The sequence below is a fragment of the Homo sapiens genome, chromosome 19 (genome assembly GCF_000001405.40).
Source record: "Homo sapiens chromosome 19, GRCh38.p14 Primary Assembly".
Taxonomy (NCBI): Eukaryota; Metazoa; Chordata; class Mammalia; order Primates; family Hominidae; genus Homo; species Homo sapiens.
The window spans coordinates 53,522,221-53,535,902 of record NC_000019.10 but is presented as its reverse complement, the minus strand read 5'-3'; the positions used below and the strand labels follow the sequence as shown (position 1 = coordinate 53,535,902).

Sequence of the window (13,682 nt, the reverse complement as noted above, 5' to 3'; positions counted from 1 at the left end):
ACCTGGGAGGCAGAGGTTGTAGTGAGCCAAGATTGCGCCACTGCACTCCAGCCTGGGTGACAGAGTAAGACTTCATCTCAAAAAAGAAAAAAAAAAAAAAAGTGAACATTTTAAACTAGTGCTATCTCATTCTATTTCATATACCTTTGAAATGTTACAGTCAATATTCGTTACTTGCACATATAACCTTGGGAATATTTCCAAAGTCCATATTTGTAAGGTATCCAGTGACTATTTTCATATTCATCAATGATTAATTTTTCAAAGCAAGGAAACATGACTGGTATCTCTCTTCTCTCCACATGCACACAGACATAATGTGACCCGTGGTTGGGCTGGATTTCTTTTACAAACTATGATTTGGAGAGTTTTTGCCTCATTTACATGATTAATAGGATTCAATGTTCCAGAAACAAAACACACACATGCTTAGAGGTGGAGGGGAAGACAGTAAACATACATACTAAGTGTTAACAGTAATTATCTTTAGATGGTATAAATATGGGTAATTACGGCCGGACAGTGGCTTACACCTGTAACCCCAGCACTTTGAGAGGCCAAGGCAGGTGGATCACTGGAGGCCAGGAGTTCGAGACCAGCCTTGGCCAACATGGCGAAACCCCATCTCTACTAAAAATACAAAAATTAGCTGAATGTGTGGCAGACACCTGTAATCCCAGCTACTCAGGAGGCTGAGGCAGATCTCTTGAACCCGGGAGGCAGAGGTTGCAGTGAGCCGAGCTTGTACCATTGCACTCCAGCCTGGGCAACAAAAGCAAGACTCTGTCTTAATAAATAAATAGATAAATAAATAAATAAGGGTAATTTTTAGTTTCCTCTTTGTGTGCTTCTTAGGGGAATAATTTTTTTTTTTTTTTTTTTTTGGTTACAGGCTTTCATTAATCCCATTATAAAGTATATAATTATAGGGAGCCCCAAATTTAAAAAAAGATTAGTAAGGAAAACAGACCATTGTTATAGGGGAGTGGGTACATTCTAGCTATTCAGGAAAGTTTGATGGACAGGCCTGTTACTGGCAGAATATATCCACATCCTACATCTGGAACCTGGGAATATGTTATGTTACAAGGCAAGATAAAGAAGGTTGCAGATGGACTTAAATTGCTAACCAGCCACCCTTCAGATACGGAGATTACCCTGAATTATCTAGGTGGGCCTGGTGCAATTACAAAGTTCCTTAAAAGTAGGTGAGGGAGTTCTGAAGAAGAGAAACATGTGATGACAGAAACAGGTGGGGAATGAGGTGATACAAGAAGAACTTGACTTGTCTTTTCTGGGTTTAAAGGTGTAGGATAGGGCTGGACGCAGTGGCTCACACCTGTAATCCCAGCATTTGGGAGGCCGAGGTGGGCGGATCACTTGAGGTCAAGAGTTCGAGACCAGCCTGGCCAACTGGTGAAACCCCATCTACTAAAAAAATACAAAAATTAGCCGAGTGTGGTGGTGCATGCCTGTAATCCCAGCTACTCAGGATGCTGAGGCAGAAGAATCGCTTGAATCTGGGAGGTGGAGTTTGCAGTGAGCTGAGATGGTGCCACTGCACTCCAGCCCAGGCAACAGAGTGAGACTCTGTATCAAAAAAAAAAAGTAGGATGGGGTCATGAGCTAATCTGGGCAGCCTCTAGAAGCTGGGAAAGGCCATGAAAGAGAATGCCTCCTAGAGCCTCCAAAAAGCAACACAGTCTTCAACATGTTGGTTTTAGCCCAGTGAGACCCACTTTAGACTTTTGACTTCTAGGACTTAAGATGTCACCCCCTGATCTTGAATGACCTTTCACTGTGTCTCAGCAATACAGTTGTCTTAGTCCGTTTTGGCTGCTATAACAGCTGCTATTACAGGCATGAGCCACCATGCCTGGCATATTTTCCTAATAACATTTTCTTTTCTCTAGCTTACTTTATTGTAGGAGTATTGCATATAACACATATACCATTCTATATTTGTGTTAATCTACTTTATGTAATCAATAAGGCTTCCATTCAACAGTAGGCTATTACATTTTTAGGGAGTCAAAAGTTAAATGTGGAGTTTTGACTGCATGGTGAGTTGTCGCCCCAGCTCCATGTTGTTCAAGGGTCAACTGTACGTATATCAGACAAAATAGAATTTAAGTCAAAAACTATAAGAAGAGAAAGAAAGTCATTATAGAATTATAAAGGGATCAATTCATGAAGAAGATGTATCAATTGTACATATGTATGTACCCAACATTGGATCGTGTAAATATATAAAGCACACATTATAAGATCTGAAGGGACAAACAGACTGCAATACAATAATTGAAGGGGACTTCAAATCCTACTTTCGACAAAGGACAACTTATTCAGCAGAAAATCAATAAGGAAACACTGGAATTGAATTTTACTTTAGACCAAATGGACTTATCAGATGTATACAGAGCATCCCTCCCAACAGCAGCAGAATACATATTCTTCTCCAGCACACATGAAAGATTCTCCAGGACAGATAACATATTAGGCCAAATAACAGGTCTTAAGAAATTTAAGGCAACTGAAATCCTATCAAGCATCTTTTCAACCACAGTGGTATTAAGCTAGAAATCAATAACAGGAGGAATTTAGGTAAATTCACAAATATGTGGAAATTAAACAACATGATAAGTACCAGTAGGTCAAGGAAGAAGTTAAAAGTTTAATTTAAAAATATTTTGAAATAAATGCAAAAGGAAACAACATACCAAATCTTGAGAAACGCAGGAAAAGCAGTTCTAAGAGGGAAGTTTATAGCAATAAACACCTACATTAAGAAAGGAGAAAGACCTTAAACAAACATTACTTCTCAAGGAACTCGAAAAAGAACAAATGACACTCATAGTAATGAAAGGAATAATAAAAGTCGGAATAAAAATAAATGGAGACTAAATAAACAATATGGGAAGATTAATGAAACTAAGAGTTGATTTTTTGAAAAGATAAACAACATTGAAAAACCATGAGACTTTCAAAGACAAAAAAGGGAAGACTCAAAAATCAATAAAATCAGAAATGAAAATGGAGACATTACAACTCATACCACAGAAATACAAAGAATCGTGAGAGACTACAATGAACAATTAGATGCCAAAAAAGTTGGATAACCTAGAAGATTAATTCCTAGAAACACACAACCTACCAAGATGGAATCATGAATAAACAGAAAAATCTGAACACATCAGTAATGAGTAAAAAGATTGAACAAATAATACAGAATTTCTGATCAAAGAACAGCCCAGGACTTGATGATGGCTTCATTGCTGTATTCTACCAAATATTCACAAAATATTCTTCTGAAACTCTTCCAAAAAGTTGTAGAGGAAGGAATGCTCCCAAGTTGCTGCAGTATTATTCACAATACCCCAGGGGGAAACAAAAAAAAATCAACCTACATGTTAATCTGTAGAGGAATGGGTAAAGAAAATGTGGCATATATCACAATTAAATACTATTCGCCTTAAAAACCAGGAAAATCCAGTCATTTGTGATAACATGGGTGAACCTAGAGGACATCATATTAAGTGAAATAAGCCAGGCATAGAAAGGTCCACCTGCATTATCTCACCTATTTAAGTGTCAAAAAGCTGAACTCATAGAAGCAAAGAGTGGAATGATGGTTACCAGAGGCTGGGACAGGGGTGGGAATAGGGAGATGAATGGCTACAAAGGCTAGAGAGGAGGAATAAATTCTGCGTATCTATTTTATAACCTGGTGACTATAATGAATAACAATGTATATTTGAAAATTGCTGAGAGATGTTAAATGTTCTAATCACAAAAATGATAACTAGTAAGGTGAAGGGTATGTTATTCACTTTGGTTTCATCACTCCATAATGCACACACATATCAAAACATAATGTTGTACATAATAAGCACATAATTTGTTATTTATCAAATAAAAATAAAAAATAAAGGATGTCATTTTAATAAACAAAACAACAATAATCCGAATAAATAAATAAAAAGAAGAAAAATACAGAACTATATGTGGCCCATAAATCCCTTTACTGCTGAACGTTTTACAGAAAAAAATTTGCCAACTCTGTCCTAGATCCAGAACTCATACTCAAAATCAAACCACATTGCTTCTCACTGTGCACACAAAGCAAGTGGAAAAAAACAACTCTGAGGCTGTCAGCTTCAAAGAAAATCTAGTAAACAGAAAAAATTTCAATTTATTGATTACTTGGAAAACATTTATGCCTTTGATGACACAGAAGTTTGCTCAAACTCCACTCTTAAAAGCCTCACAAAGCTGACAACCTTGTCACGTACTCAAACGATCTACTTTCTGGCTGTGATATGAAAATCAGGCTTAGGGAAAAGACTAAAGATAGGTGGTGTTTGATTCCACTTAAAAACGAATCTTTTCCTTAGCAAACCACATTCTAATATCACGCACTAATGTTAAGCTCCAGGAGGTATATTTTTCTATATCATCAGATTCTTAGAAGAGCAGAGCACACAGAAAAAGCTACACAGTTTGCCAAAGAGGCACATGAATAACATTCAGAAGAGAGACTTGGTCAATGGGGAGTACATTGAGGGATATCCCTGTATGAACCCCCAACACCTCTTTGGAAAGGATGACCGGGATAAGTTGTTATAGTGAGAATATTTAGGGGCAAGGAAAGTAAATAGTCCTGTCTTATAAACGCTAATCATTTAATGAATAAAACGTAACTCACTTGAACCTTGATTTTAAGATGGGTAAATGATTCCTCCTCTCAAGGCGTGCTTTTTCGTAAGAATGTTGGTTTAGGGGAAAGAGGAGGATAAGACTGAGAAGCTAGGGTCTTTCTAGGTGCGCAGCCTACATTAGAAAATACCTCATAAGGCACAGCTGCCCTCAGGCCATATCTATGACAATCAGAAGTCAGAGGGCACTGGGATCAGAGTGTTTCAGAGATTCCTGGGGTCTACATTGTATTAACTGGGGTTATAGACTGTGTAGCTGACCTCCCTCTGTAAGGATGGTCACCCTGCATGGGTCCCATTGCCCCCAAGATACTCGCACACCTGTCACAATTATGGGGACAGAGCTGGCACATCAACCCCACACACGCCCACGCAAGTGCGTCTTCTACTCACACATCAGGTCCCGGTTACCCCTGCGGATGCCAATGTACATGCACACACAGACACATATTTCCACATGTGCTGGAGCACTGACTGGAAAAATGGCCAAAATGCCAAGTGATGCCCTGTACATACCGACAGTTGTTTTGAGGCTGCTTCCTTTTACGTCTGAGGGGAGTGTGAATTTTACCTCTGAACTTGTCCTTCAAGCCATGATGGCCCAGCAGACAAGCATTAATTCGCCTTACCCTATTGGTCTTCCCTTTGCATCAAACATTATTAGAAAAATACAAGTTATAAAACAAATTGTATTTACCTACACATGGAACCTGTGAATTCAGAATTATTTGGTTATAAATCGACATCCGTGGGCGGTATGGCTTGAATACTTGCCCCGTCTAAATCTCCAGTTGAACTGTCATCCCCAGTGCTGGAGGTGGGGCCTGGTGGGAGGTGAACTGTCATCCCCAGTGCTGGAGGTGGGGCCTGGTGGGAGGTGAACTGTCATCCCCAGTGCTGGAGGTGCGGCCTGGTGGGAGGTGTTTGGGTTATGGAGGCAGATCCCTCATGTCTTGGCCATGGTGAGTGAGTTCTTGCAAAATCTGGTCATTTAAAAGTACATGGCATCCCCCGCACCTCCCGCCAGCGCTGTGTCCCAACCTTACCCCTCCTTTTGCCATGTGACGTGCCTGCTCCCACTTCACCTTCCAAGTAAAGTGGAGTAAAAGCTCCTGAGGCCTCCCTAGAAGCCAAGTGGATGCCAGATGTCGATACCATGCTTCCTTTTCAGCCTTCAGAAGCATGAGCCAATATAATCTTTATAAATGACCCAGTCTCAGGGATTTCTTGATAGCAATGCAAGAATGGCCTACCCGAGCGGGTGCTGTCAGAATGATGTTCCCTTCCTAGCACCTCTCAAGGTACATCACCTGGAATTCCCCACAGTCCGTGATCACAGGCTGCCCTGAGCTGCTTCTACTCAGTTTCCCCTCCTTGCTGGGTTATAGACAACATACAGGTAGCAGCTGTGTCCTTTTAGTTATTCTCTCATTCTTCGTGCTAATATCACAGAGTTTGGCGTACTGCAGACACTTAACAAGTCTTGATTTTGACTCAAAATACTGGTTTTCAAAATTTATCTGAAGGACACAGCTATAGTCATACACAATTGTTTGTGCAAGAATATTCAGGGAATTTTTTCTCTGTGAATTTTCTTTAGAATGGAGATAAAGATTCACATGCAGTTGTAAGAAACAATACAGCGAGAGAGATCCTGTTTACCTTTTACCTGATTTATACCAATGATGATTGAACTACAGTGTAATACCACAACTAGGACACTGTCATTGATGCAATCAATTGATATTATTCCACTTCTCCAGAGAATAATTTTTTTTTTTTTTTTAAAAGACAGAGTCTTGCTCTGTCGCCCAGGCTGGAGTGCAGTGGCATGATCTCGGCTCACTGCAAGCTCCACCTCCCGGGTTCACGCCATTCTCCTGCCTCAGCCTCCTGAGTAGCTGCGACTACATGCGCCTACCACCACGCCCGGCTAATTTTTGTATTTTTAGTAGAGACGGGGTTTCACCGTGTTAGCCAGGATGGTCTCGATCTCCTGACCTCGTGATCCACCCGCCTCAGCTCCCAAAGCGCTGGGATTATAGGCGTGAGCCACCACGCCCAGCCTTCAGAGAATAATTTTAAAAAAATCAAAAAAATAGGTTGGGTGCGGTGGCTCATGCCTGTAATCCCAGCACCTTGGGAGGCCAAGGTGGGCGGATCACCTGAGGTCAGTTGTTTGAGAGCAGCCTGGCCAACATTGTGAAACCTCGTCTCTACTAAAAATACAAAAAAATCATCCAGGCGTGGGGACAGGCAGCTGTAGTCCCAGCTACTCGGGAGGCTGAGGCAGGAGAATCGCTCAAACCTGGGAGGCGGAGGCTGCAGTGGGCTCTGATTGCGCCACTGCACTCCAGCCTGGGCAACAGAGCGAGACTCTGTCTCAGAAAAAAAAAAAGAAATATCTGACAGTAGAGGACAGATTAAATAAATTATGATCTGCTATATCATGACATAAAATACATTTACTAGTGATACTGATCCATATAATTGAGAAAGCATTTATGATGTATTACCAAATGAAGAAAGTAGATTTAAAAAGGTACATGTAATTTGGGCAGAGGTACTTTGGAGAAATTAAGAACACAGGCTCTGCAGTACAACTTTCAGGGTGTGATTCTGAACTCTGACAGTTACTAACCTCGCAGTGTCTTTTTCCTCACTGGTGAAACTGGAATATAAATACCATGAGATATGGCTATCTCAATTATCAAGTAAGATAATCTACATAAAACATAGTAATACATAACAATTACTTTACATAAGTTAGCTGTTTTTATTAAAGATCACTGACATTACATATCCCTTAATCCATTTTTAGAAAAGAAACATGAGGCTGCTGTTTTCTTATGCTAAAATATGTGCTTCTCAATCAGCTATCAATATCATGAATGCTAACTAAAAATAACTTTCCAAGCCTGATGTTAAGCATGAATTTATTTGAATCAGCAGAATTAGCAAAAACGATTCTAAGACACGTAAGAAAATGTTCCCTCTTTACCAGCAACTAGGGAAATAGAGACATGATTCTGCATCAGAAATCAAGTTTAAAGAATCTAATCTGAGAAGAGATACCAAATCAAGAATATTAGCAAGAGACTGAATCATGTGTTCTATGTGATATGGGAGATTCGTGTAATTATTTCAAATTGTTGCCATCTTAGTCATTTCATATATTTGGATTTCATATACCTTGGATTTGTTACTTGTACATATAATCATGGAAATGTTACTTGTGTATATTTGGAAGGCATCAGATATCACTGATTATCATTCTCTGTCAAAGAAACATTAAAATCATAGAAAATCTAATTCTGAAAGGCTTTCTTGATAATCTGCTGTCATGGGATTAGTTTGAAATGGCGTATCTCTAATTCTATAAGGTGTAAACGTGAAGCCTTTCAAAGCAAGAGAAAGATAACTGGCCTGCCTCTCTCTTCTCCACATGTACACAAATGTAATGTGACCCATGGCTGGGTTGGATTTCTTTCACAAACTAAGATTTGAAGAGTCTTTAACTCATCTACATGATCAATTAGCAGGATTTAATGTTCCAGAAACAAACATACACACGTGTTTAGTGGGGGAGTGGGAGACAGGACACATACCTGTTAACAAAATGTTAACAGTAAATACAGTTAACAGTAAATCCTCACCTCTTTCTCTTCTTCTGGCACCCCTCATCTACTTCTAATACCCTGTGATTACATTGGGCCCACTGGCACAATTCAGGATAATCTCCCTATCTTAAGGTTAGCTGATTAATAACTTCAGTCCATCTACAACTGAAATTTCCCTTGCCGTGCAACATCACATATTCCTGCATTCATGAATTAGGGTGTGGACATTTTTGAGATACACTTGTTATGCTTCCCACAAGCCTATCCATTCAAACATTTATTAATAACTACAAGGTACCAGCACCTTCATAACTCTGATTTTTTTACCTTGAGTAATCATTTTTTTAAATTCAGGACTTCCTTAAGTTATATTTCCTTTTTTTTATTTTTTAAGATGGAGTCTCGCTCTGTCACCCAGGCACAATCTCGGCTCTCACTGCAACCTCCAACTCCCGGGTTCAAGTGATTCTCCTGTGTCAGCCTCCTGGGTAGCTGGGATTACAGGCACATGCCACCATGCCTGGCTAATTTTTGTATTTTTAGTAGAGACGGGGTTTCACCATGTTGGTCAGGCTGGTCTCAAACTCCTGACCTCGTGATCCGCCTGCCTTGGCCTCCTAAAGTGCTGGATTACAAGCATGAGGCACTGCGCCCAGCAAGTTATATTTCTTATAATGCAATCAATGCAGGCCTGGTATAAAAAAAATTAGTTCCCGGGCCAGGCGCGGTGGCTCACGCCTGTAATCCCAGCACTTTGGGAGGCCGAGGTGGGCGGATCACGAGGTCAGGAGATCGAGACCATCCTGGCTAATATGGTGAAACCCCGTCTCTACTAATAATACAAACAACTAGCCAGGCACAGTGACAGGCGCCTGTAGTCCCAGCTACTCGGGAAGCTGAGGCAGGAGAATGGCGTGAACCTGGGAGGCGGAGCTTGCAGTGAGCCAAGATCGCACCACTGCACTCCAGCCTGGTGACAGGGCGAGACTCCGTCTCAAAAAAAAAAGAAAAAAAAAATTTCTACGCCAAAAAATTGAATAATGTAGAAGAAATGAATAAATTCCTAGTAATATATAATCTATCAAGATTGAATCATGAAGAAATACAAAATCTGAACACACTAACAACAGGTAAGGAGGTTGAATAAGCAATAAATATCTCCCATGAAAGACCAGAACCTGATGCCCTCACTGCTGAATTCTACCAAACATTCGAAGACCTAATACAATGCTTCTCAAACTCTTCCAGAAAATCCAAGAGAAGGGACTATCTCCAAGCCCATTTTATAAGAACAGCATGACCAAACCCAACAAGGACACTGCAAGACAAGAAAAATCACCGGCCAGTACCTTTGATAAACCTAAAAGCAAAAATCCTCAGCAAGATACTAGCAAACTGAACTCAGTAGCATATAAAAAGGATCATTCAACATGATCAAGCGGGATTTATCCCAGGAATGCAAGGATGGTTCAACATATACAAATCTATAAATCTGATATAGCACATTAACAGAATGAAGGATAAAATCCATATGATCATCACAATAGATCCAGAAAAAGCATCTGACAAAATTCAACAGGCTTTCCTAACAAAAACTCTCAACAGATTAGGTATTGAGGAATGTACCTCAATATAATATAGGTGATATAACACAAGCACATAGCTAACATCATAATCAATGGTGAAAAGTTGAAATATCAGGAACAAGACGAGGATTCCCACTCTTACCACTTCTAATCAATGTAGTACTAGAAGCCTTAGGCAGAGCAATTAGGCAACAAAAAGAAAAGCCAATCAAATAGGAAGTGAAGAAGTTATACTGTTCCTGTTTGCAGATGACATGATCTTATACATATAAAAAACCCTAAAAGCTCCATCAAAAAATGACTAGAAATAATAAATGAATTCAGTAAAGTTGTAGTATGCAACGTCAACATTAAAAAATCAATAGTATCCCTTACAAAATCAATGTGCAAAAGTCACAAGCATTCCTATACACCAATAACAGACAAACAGAGAGCCAAATCATGAGTGAACTCCCATTCACAATTGCTACAAAGAAAATAAAATACCTAGGAATCCAATTTACAAGGGATGTGAAGGACCTCTTCAAGGAGAACTACAAACCACTGCTCAACAAAATAAAAGAGGAAACAAATGGAATTCCATGATCATGGACAGGAAGAATCAATATCGTGAAAATGGCCATACCGCCCAAGGTAATTTATAGATTCAATGCCATCCCCATCAAGCTACCAATGACTTTCTTCACAGAATTGGAAAAAACTACTTTAAAGTTCATATGGAACCAAAAAAGAGCCCGCATTGCTAAGACAATCCTAGGCAAAAAGAACAAAGCTGGAGGCATCACACTACCTGACTTCAAACTATACTACAAGGCTACAGTAACCAAAACAGCATGGTAATGGTACCAAAACAGAGATATAGACCAATGGAACAGAACAGAGGCCTCAGAAATAACACCACACATCTACAACCATCTGATCTTTGACAAACCTGACAAAAACAAGAAATGGGGAAAGGATTCCGTTTTTAATAAATGGTGCTGGGAAAACTGGCTAGCCATATGTAGAAAGCTGAAACTGGATCCCTTCCTTACATCTTATATAAAAATTAATTCAAGATGGATTAAAGACTTAAATATTAGACCTAAAACCATAAAAACCCTAGAAGAAAACCTAGGCAATACCATTCAGGACACAGGCATGGGCAAGGACTTCAGGACTAAAACACCAAAAGCAATGGCACCAAAAGCCAAAATAGACAAATGGGATCTAATTAAACTAAAGAGCTTCTGAACAGCAAAAGAAACTACTATCAGAAGGAACAGACAACCTACAGAATGGGAGAAAATTTTTGCAATCTACCTATCTCACAAAGGGCTAATATCCAGAATCTACAAAGAACTCAAACAAATTTACAAGAAAAAAACAAAAAACCCCATCAAAAAGTGGGCCAAGGATATGAACAGACACTTCTCAAAAGAAGACATCTATGCAGCCAACAGACACATGAAAAAATGCTCATCATCACTGGTCATCAGAGAAATGCAAATCAAAACCACAATGAGATACCATCTCACACCAGTTAGAATGGCAATCATTAAAAAGTCAGGAAACAACAGATGCTAGAGAGGATGTGGAGAAACAGGAACACTTTTACACTGTTGGTGGGAGTGTAAATTAGTTCAACCATTGTGGAAGACAGTGTGGCGATTCCTCAAGAATCTAGAACTAGAAATACCATTTGACCCAGCAATCCCATAACTGGGTATATACCCAAAAGATTATAAATCATGGTACTATAAAGACACATTCACACATATGTTTACTGTGGCACTATTCACAATAGCAAAGACTTGGAACCAACCCAAATGTCCATCAATGACAGACTGGATTAAGAAAATGTGGCACATATACACCATGGATTACTATGCAGCCATAAAAAAGGATGAGTTCATGCCCTTTGCAGGGACATGGAAGAAGCTGGAAACCATCATTCTGAGCAAACTATCACAAGGACAGAAAACCAAACACCGCATGTTCTCACTCATAGGTGGGAACTGAACAATGAGATCAATTGGACACAGGGTGGTGAATATCACACACCAGGGCCCGTCGGAGTTGGGGGGCTGGGGGAGGGATAGCATTAGGAGAAATACCTAATGCAAATGACGAGTTGATGGGTGCAGCAAAACAACATGGCACATGTATACCTATGGATTAAACCTGCATATTGTGCACATGTACCCTAGAACTTAAAGTATAAAAAAAAAATAGTATCCCTATAGACTAACAACTATTTGAAAAAGAAATCAAGGCTGGGCATGGTGGCTAACAGACAAATGAATTGCATCATTAAAAAACTTATGCACAGCAGAGCAATCAACAGAGTGAAGACAGAACCTATGGAGTAGAAGGAAATATTTGCAAACCATACATCTGACAAGCAGTTAATATTCACGATATATAAGAAACTCACACAACTCAAGAGTGTGAAAAAAAAATTTGATTAAAAATTGGGACAAAGGCAGGGCATGGTGGCTCACACCTGTAATCCCAGGACTTTGGGAGGCTGAGGCGGGCAGATAACTTGAAATCAGGAGTTTGAGACCAGCCTGGCCAACATGATGAAACCCCGTCTCTACTAAAAATACAAAAATTAGCCAGGCATGGTGGTGGGTGCCTATAATTCCAGCTACTTGGGAGGCTGAGGCAGGAGAATCGCTGCAACCCAGGACGCAGAGGTTCCAGTGAGCTGAGATCATGCCATTGCACTCCAGCCTGGGGGACAAGGGCAAAAGAAAAAAAAAATAAAAAAAAAATATAGTATATTTGAAAATTGCTAAGAGAGTAGAGTTTAAATGTCCTCATGACAAAAATAATAATTAGTGAGGTGATGGATATGTTCATCAGCCTGATTTAATCATCTCATAATGTATACATATATATAAAAACATATACACAATAAATACAATTTGTCATTTGCCAATTATATAAAAATTTAAAAAATTAACCATGTTAAAAAATAACTACAATAATAAAAAATAAACAAAAGACCAAAGATATCTGGTGTTTCCTTCCACCCAAAAATAAATCCCTTCCTTACCAAACCACACTGTAATATAAAGTGTTAGAATTAATCTCTTCTGTACCATCAGATTCTTAGACAATTTTTAGACATTTTAGAAGAGGGTAGGTCAATGGAGTATACACGGAGGAATGACCTGCACCGCCCTGTCACATCCCTTGGGGAGGAATTAGTGGGATAAATGACTATTTGGGAAGAAATGGGCCCAAGGAAAGTAAATAGTCTTAAGTTGTATAAATACAAATCATTGAATGAACAAAAAGCTAACTCACCTGAAACCTTACTTTAGGACATATAACACTTCTTCTTCCTCCTCCGGGATGCTTTTCCTGAAGGCCAGCTGGCCGGAGGGGAAAAGGAAGATAAGAATGAGGCACCAGGACCTTTCTGGATCACAAGCTACGTTAGAAAATAGCGCACACGTCCAGGCGCGGTGGCTCACAACTGTAATCCCAGAACTTTGGGAAGCCGACGGGGGCGGATCATGAAGTCAAGAGATCGAGATCACCTATGCCAACATGGTGAAATCCCGTCTCTACTAAAAATACAAAAATTAGCTGGGCATGGTGGCGTGCGCCTGTGGTCCCAGCTACTTGGGAGGCTGAGGCAGGAGAATCGCTTGAACCTGGGAACCGAGATCGCACCACTGCACTCCAGCCCTGGGCGACAGAGCAAGACTCTGTCTCAAAAAAAAAAAAAACAAAGAAAGAAAATAGGGCACACTTGTCCCCAGACC

At 39.9% G+C, this 13,682-nt stretch overlaps 1 protein-coding gene across 15 annotated transcripts in view; it reads right to left on the bottom strand.

Moving 5' to 3' along the window:
• Positions 1–13,682, bottom strand: part of ZNF331 (zinc finger protein 331) — a 77,035-nt gene that overhangs the window by 44,367 nt on the left and 18,986 nt on the right. For 14 of the 15 annotated variants that reach the window (XM_047439049.1, XM_047439057.1, XM_047439058.1 and 11 more), the window contains one exon: positions 13,219–13,286. The exons of the other annotated variant lie outside the window; for it this stretch is intronic. The gene's annotated coding sequence lies outside the window, so the exon portion shown is untranslated. The remainder of the gene's footprint in view (positions 1–13,218; positions 13,287–13,682) is intronic. 15 annotated transcript variants of the gene reach the window in all.